At 40.8% G+C, this 6,968-nt stretch overlaps 2 annotated features.

Moving 5' to 3' along the window:
- Window positions 1,166-1,691: an enhancer, noted in NCBI's record as "OCT4-NANOG-H3K4me1 hESC enhancer chr10:108227339-108227864 (GRCh37/hg19 assembly coordinates)". NCBI's record gives its function as "activates a minimal SCP1, AML or CMV promoter by ChIP-STARR-seq in naive H9 embryonic stem cells {active_cell/tissue: H9 hESC(naive)}" and the evidence as "EXISTENCE:reporter gene assay evidence [ECO:0000049][PMID:30033119]".
- Window positions 1,692-2,217: an enhancer, noted in NCBI's record as "OCT4-NANOG-H3K4me1 hESC enhancer chr10:108226813-108227338 (GRCh37/hg19 assembly coordinates)". NCBI's record gives its function as "activates a minimal SCP1, AML or CMV promoter by ChIP-STARR-seq in naive H9 embryonic stem cells {active_cell/tissue: H9 hESC(naive)}" and the evidence as "EXISTENCE:reporter gene assay evidence [ECO:0000049][PMID:30033119]".

Genomic DNA, 6,968 nt, shown 5'->3' with positions numbered 1-6,968 from the left:
GCAGTTTCTTCATAGCGTCAATGGTCTTTACAATTTGCCATATTTTTGCAGTGTCTGGTACTGGTTGTTCCTTTCCATGTTTAGTGCTTCCTTCAGGAGCTCTTGTAAGGCAGGCCTGGTGGTGACAAAATCTCTCAGCACTTGCTTGTCTGTAAAGGATTTTATTTCTCCTTCACTTATGAAGCTTAGTTTGGCTGGATATGAAATTCTGGGTTGAAAATTCTTTAAGAATGTTGACTATTGGCCCCCACTGTCTTCTGGCTTTTAGGGTTTCTGCCGAGAGATCCGCTGTTAGTCTGATGGGCTTCCCTTTGTGGGTAACCCAACCTTTCTCTCTGGCTGTCCTTAACATTTTTTCCTTCATTTCAACCTTGGTGAATCTGATAATTATGTGCCTTGGGGTTGCTCTTCTTGAGGAGTATCTTTGAGGTGTTCTCTGTATTTTCTGAATTTGAATGTTGGTCTGCCTTGCTAGATTGGGGAAGTTCTCCTGGATAATATCCTGAAGAGTGTTTTCTAACTTGGTTCCATTCTCCCTGTCACTTTCAGGTACAACAATCAAATATAGATTTTGTCTTTTCACATAGTCCCATATTTCTTGGAGGCTTTGTTCATTTCTTTTCATTCTTTTTTCTCTAATCTTGTCTTCTCACTTTATTTCATTAATTTTATCTTCAATCATTGATATCCTTTCTCCTGCTTGATCAAATTGGCTATTGAAACTTGTGTATGCTTCACAACGTTCTTGTACTGTGGTTTTCAGCTCCATCAGTTCATTTAAGCTCTTCTCTACACTGGTTATTCTAGTTAGCCATTCGTCTAACCTTTTTTCAAGGTTTTTAGCTTCCTTGAGATGGGTTAGAATATGCTTTTTTAGCTCAGAGATGTTCATTATTACCAACCTTCTGAAGCCTACTTCTGTCAACTTGTCAAACTCATTCTCTGTCCAGTTTTGTTCCTTTGGAGGAGAAGACGTGCTCTGGTTTTGGAATTGTCAGCCTTTCTACTGTGGTATCTCTCCATCTTTGTGGTTTTATCTCCCTTTGGTCTTTGACGTTGGTCACCTACAGATGGGGTTTTGGTGTGAATGTCCTTTCTGTTGATACTTCTTTCTGTTTGTTAGTTTTCCTTCTAACAGCTGCAGGTCTGTTGGAGTTTGCTGCAGGTCCACTGTAGACCCTGTTTGCCTGGGTATCACCAGCGGAGGCTTCAGAACAGCAAATATTGCTGCCTGATCCTTCCTATGGAAGCTTCATCCCAGAGGGACACCTGCCTGTATGAGGTGTCTGTCGGCCCCTACTGGGAGGTGTCTCCTAGTCAGGTTACACAGGGGTCAGGGACCAACTTGAGGAGGCAGTCTGTCCGTTATCAGAGCTCAAACCCCATGCTGGGAGAACCACTGCTCTCTGCAGAGCCATCAGGCAGGGACATTTAAGTCTGCAGAAGCTGTCTGTTGCCTTTTGTTCATATATGCCCTACCCCCACAGGTGGAATCTAGAGAGGCAGTAGGACTTGCTGAGCTGTGGTGGGCTCCACCCAGTTTGAGCTTCCCTGCTGCTTTGTTTACACTGTGAGCATACTCAACTGCCTACTCAAGCCTCAGCAATAGTGGATGCCCCTCCCCCTGCCAAGCTCCAGTGTCCCAGGTTGATCTCAGATGGCTGCGCTAGCAGCGAGCAAGGATCCGTGGTCGTGGGACCCAGTGAGCCAGGCACGGGAGGGAATCTCCTGGTCTTCCGGTTGCTAAGGCCATGGGAAAAGCACAGTATTTGGGCAGGAGTGTACTGTTCCTCCAGGTACAGTCACTTATGGCTTCCCTTGGCTAGGAAAGGGAAATCCCCTGACCCCTTGTGCTTCCCGGGTGAGGTGACTCCCTGCTCTGCTTTGGCTCACCCTCCATGGGCTGTACCCACTGTCCAGTCAGTCCCAATGAGATGAACCATGTACCTCGGTTGGAAATGCAGAAATCACCCATCTTCTGTGTCAATCTTGCTGGGAGCTGTAGACCAGAGCTGTTCCTATTTGGCCATCTTGGAAGCAACTCCAAGGTGCGATTTAAATACTCATTGAAATAGCATGTAACCATCATCTCCTATCTTTCTCAAGTTGTTAGTTAATTTCCCATGATCCCTTCAGAGCTGGTCTATTAACTAAGGATTACTGGAGAATAGTAACTAGGCTACTTGCTTTTCCCCCAAGAACTCAAAAGTGTCAAAGTGAAATTATGATATAGATGATTTGAAGCTATTCATTTGACAAACATTTTGGAAGTTCTTTCATGAGCTTTAGAGGTAGAAGAGCAAAATATTGTTGTCCACTAAGAGCTTATAAGTTGACAAAGTTCACATAACACAGTAATGAGCACGTTTGATTAAAACAAAAGGAGTCTGTGTTTCTGCAGCTATATAGAAACTAGTAAACCTTTGGAATATGTCTCCAGTACTGAACAGGGACCTTTCTTCAAAGTGAGGGGGCCTGGAGAAATAATTCAATGATGTTAGGAGATCTGATTTGGAAATGCAGTTATTAAATGAAAGTATGTATTATGCTATTAAGTCCCCAAAAGCCCAAACAAATGTAGAGACAACAGGGAGATTTATAATTTAAATTTGGTTTCAAAATCTTCAAGACAACACCTATTTTTATTATTTTATTTATTTATTTTGGGAGGGGATAGAGTTTTGTTTTGTCGTCCAGGCTGGAGTGCAATGGGGTGATCACAGCTCACCGCAACCTCTGCCTCCCGGGTTCAAGTGATTCTCCTGCCTCAGCCTCCTGAGGAGCTGGGATTACAGGCATGTGCCACCATGCTCGGGTAATTTTGCATTTTTAGTAGAGATGGGGTTTCTCCATGTTGGTAAGGTTGGTCTCGAACTCCTGACTTCAGGTGACCTGCCTGCCTTAGCCTCCCACAGTGCTAGGATTACAGGTGTGAGCCACTGCGCCTGGCCTACATCACATATTTTTATTTTTGAAAATTTAGTTATCTGATGTGTACAATGCAATAGGGGAAAGCTTACAACAGGGCCATGTGTGGCCTTGTCTCTTTCATTTCTCCTTTTGATGTCTCTGAGACTAGAGCATAATCCATCACGTGGGCTTATTTTCCTGAGAAGGCTGCTCAATTAAGGGTTACAAGCTTTGAAAGAGAAAGATGAAGTGCTGATGACCCAACACAGGAATTAACATTTAAAAATTGTTCTGTACCAGCTCACAACGTTGGTAACAACAACAGTAATTATCATTGTTATTTTAGAAAGCTGTGAGTCTCATAGTGGGTGTGGAAAGTCAAACTGGAGAATAAACTTCCTCTGTTTGATTGACATTTTCGGAGCAATTCTTCTTTACCCTAATCATCAACTCAGATTTGCGGAAACAATCTCTCTCTGAAAAATCACAAGCAAGTTCCAATAAGGTAAGAATTCTGTTTGAATAAAGTGAAATAAAGGAAAAATCACATCTAATTCAAAGTACTTAGCTATTAAAAAATTATTCCTTCTGGCTCCATAGACACATGAAATACATATTTAAAAGTTAATTGAAAAAGAAGGAAAACAAATCTCCAGTGCACCTTTTTATCCATATACAAATTTTAATGTATTCTCCAAAACAGTTCAATGTTATTTACTGTGGATATCATTGGACAGACATTGAAAATGGTATTATTCTTGCTCTCCTGTTTTGTTGTTTTTTCTTTTTTAGATGTGTCTCACTCTGTCACCCAGGCTTGAGATCAGTGGCATGATCTTGGCTCACTGCAACCTCCACCTCCCAGGTTCAAGCAATTCTTCTACCTCAGCCTCCTGAGTAGCTGGGACTGCAGGTGTGCACCACCACACCTGGCTAATTTTTGTATTTTTAGTACAGATGGGGTTTCACCATGTTGGCCAGGCTGGTCTCAAATTCCTGAGCTTAAGTGACCCACCTGCTTCGTCCTCCCAAAATGCTGTGATTGCAGGCCTGAGCCACTGCCTCCCAAAGTGCTGGGATTACAGGCATGAGCCACCGCGCCCCACCTAATTCCTGCTCTCTTGAAACGTACATTCCATTGTCCTCAGATCTCTTCATAGCGTTACTTCTAGTTACTCCCTAGTTGATCTCATCTATCTCATAGCTTAAAAGCAATAATTTTCTTGATCTCATTCTAGATAAAAGTCAAAGCCCAAAAAATAACTCCCCAATTATCTTTAGTCAGGACTTATCCCTTGAATTTCATAATCCTATATCTAACTCCCTAATTGACATTTTCACTGGGATGATTATTTTGCACCTCCAGTTAACTGTCTCAAATGGAATGCATTCTCCTCTCACCACCCACATCTCTGAGAATCTATTCTTTCTCTACCCTTCTACCCAAAATGCTAACTTCATTCTTCCAGTCAATCTGGCAGGAAATTTTGCAGTCATCTATAATCTCTCTTTTTATCCCTGTCCCTCCCTCTCCCATCTGTCTCCTGCACTTTGATGTATTAATATACAATCTATACCAAATTTTCTTAATGGCAACCATGAAACATAACCAAAATTCCATGACTCCTAAATATTATCTCTACTGTTACCCTACCTAAGCTACCATGTTTTCTTACCTGGAATATTGTGATCACTTCCAGCTGGTCTCTTAGCTTCCAACACTGACCCGTACATTCTGTTTTCCATACAGCAGCCAGAAGGACCTTTTAAAAAATGTTAGCTCTTGATACTCTTCAACTCAAAACCTTCCAGTGATTTTCTATCCCATTGTAGATAAAAGACTATACCACAAGAATGAACTCCAAGGCTCAAAATGGTCTGCACATATCAGTCCCCTAACCCCCAACTCTATATTATTTCCTGCTTTTCTGTCAAGCTCCTTTCATTTCAAGCACATTTTCTCCCCCAGATTTTGCATGTGGTCTTTGCTTTGCTTGGTATGTTCTTTTCTTCATATACCTGCATGACTCTTTCATTTTATTTAACACTTCATTTAAATTTCACTTTATCAGAGTGAAATTGATAAATTTCTGTCCAAGTCTAGATGGCTTGGACAGATGGCTTCCCTGTCCAAGCCATCTAGAATAATACATCCACCCTCCTTACTCTGTCTTTAAATCTTTCTTCATAGTATTTCTCATGCTTCTAGTTATCTGTCATTACAGTTGATTCTCATTATTTGAGGATTCAATATTTGTGAATTTTCTTACTCGCTAAAATTTATTTGTAACCCCAAAATCAATAATCATGGCACTTTTATCATTATTCATAGACAAGGGCAGTGGTGAAAAATTTGAGTAGGGTAAGGTGTACATTTTCAGCTGAGGTCTAACAAGGAGACATTCTGCCTTCTTTTTTCAGCTCCCGTACTGCAAACAAATGTCCTTTTTTCAGTCTATTTAGTGCCCCATTTTTACCATCTTTGTGCTTTTTCTTCTTGATTTTGCTGTTAAAAAGGGCCTCCAAACGTGGTGCTAAAGTACTGTCTAGTGTTTCTAAGTGCAAGAAGGCTGTGGTATGCCTTCCAGAGAAAATATGTGTGTTAGACAAGCTTCATCATGCATGAGTTAAAGTGCTACTGGCCATGAGTTCAATGTTAATAAGTCAACAATATATATTAAATAACATGCCTTTAAACAGAAACACACTTTAAAACAAAGTTACATATTGATTTCTTGATGAAAATTTTGTGACCAGAGGCCTACAGGAACCTAATGTATATTTCCCTTAGGAGTGATGATCTAGTATTCACTAATTTAGTGTTTGGGATAACTTTATAGAACATAACTACCACAAATAATGAGAACTGATTATAGCTGGTTTTTCTATTTCTTTATTTTCCTCTGATAAAAAATAAACTTATGAGAGCAAGGACTTTGTGTTCATCCTGTAAGTTCAAAGGTACTCAATAAATATTTAATGAAATAATGAAAGGAAGAAAGAAAGAAATTCTCATTGTAAAAGAATTACAATAAGTAGTTTGAGAAAAATTCTGTAAACTGGTAAACAAACCAATTAAAAATAGAAATTGTGAAACCCTCTCTGAAGTTGATGTACAAGTTAATGAGGTAGAACAACCAGTCAGCAGGGGTGTTGTCATTTGAGTTGAGTCCTAAGAGGAGAAGAATAAGCCATACCTGAGCAGCAATAAGGAAACAACATTCCAGGCAGAGAGAATAAGAAGTGAAGGCTTGGTTGGGCATGGTGGCTCACACCTGTAATCCCAGCACTTTGGGAGGCTGAGGCGGGCAGATCACCTGAGGTCAGGAGTTCAAGACCAGCCTGGCCAACACGGTGAGAGCCCGTCTCTGCTAAAAAAAAAAATACAAAAATTAGCCAGGTGCAGTGGCGCATGCCTGTAATCCTAGTGACTTGGGAGGCTGAGGCAGGAGAATTGCTTGAACGCCGGAGGCGGAGGTTACCATGAGCTGAAATCACGCCACTGCACTCCAGCCTGGGTGACAGAGTGAGACTCGGTCTCAAAAAAAAAAAAAGAAAAGAAAAAAAAAGAAGTGAAGGCTCGCAGCAAGAGGGATGGCAGCAGAGATTAAATGATAAAGTGAAGCCAGTGGGAGCAATGGGAAGAATGGTGACAAAAAGGTGAAAGACACAGTGGAAGAAGTGGGAGGGATGCTGGATCAGGAAAACATTTTGTACTTTGGATATTCTAAGAGAAATAGGAATCCACTGAAATATTTTAAAGAACATGAATTGATAAATGTGATTTATACTCCAAGGAAAAGAAAGATAAAGAGGAAAATGATTGGTCAATTAATGGGCCCAGTTTTTAGTTGCCATATATTCTGTCACTACCAAATAATGGTCTATTCTGGGATGGCACCTTAGCTGGTCCAGGAACTACACAGACTGCTATGGGACCTCTAGTTTTATTTCTTAAAAATAAACTTGAAGAAGCTTTATCAGAGTTTCAGGTGTATAACAGGTAGCTTTGGCCAAAGAATTCTTCTCCATTTGGAAAGCACCTCTTCTTCAAACAA

Source organism: Homo sapiens, chromosome 10 (assembly GCF_000001405.40).
Source record: "Homo sapiens chromosome 10, GRCh38.p14 Primary Assembly".
NCBI classification, from domain to species: Eukaryota; Metazoa; Chordata; class Mammalia; order Primates; family Hominidae; genus Homo; species Homo sapiens.
The sequence above is the reverse complement of the archived record's forward strand: the minus strand, read 5'-3'. Positions and strand labels throughout refer to the sequence as shown.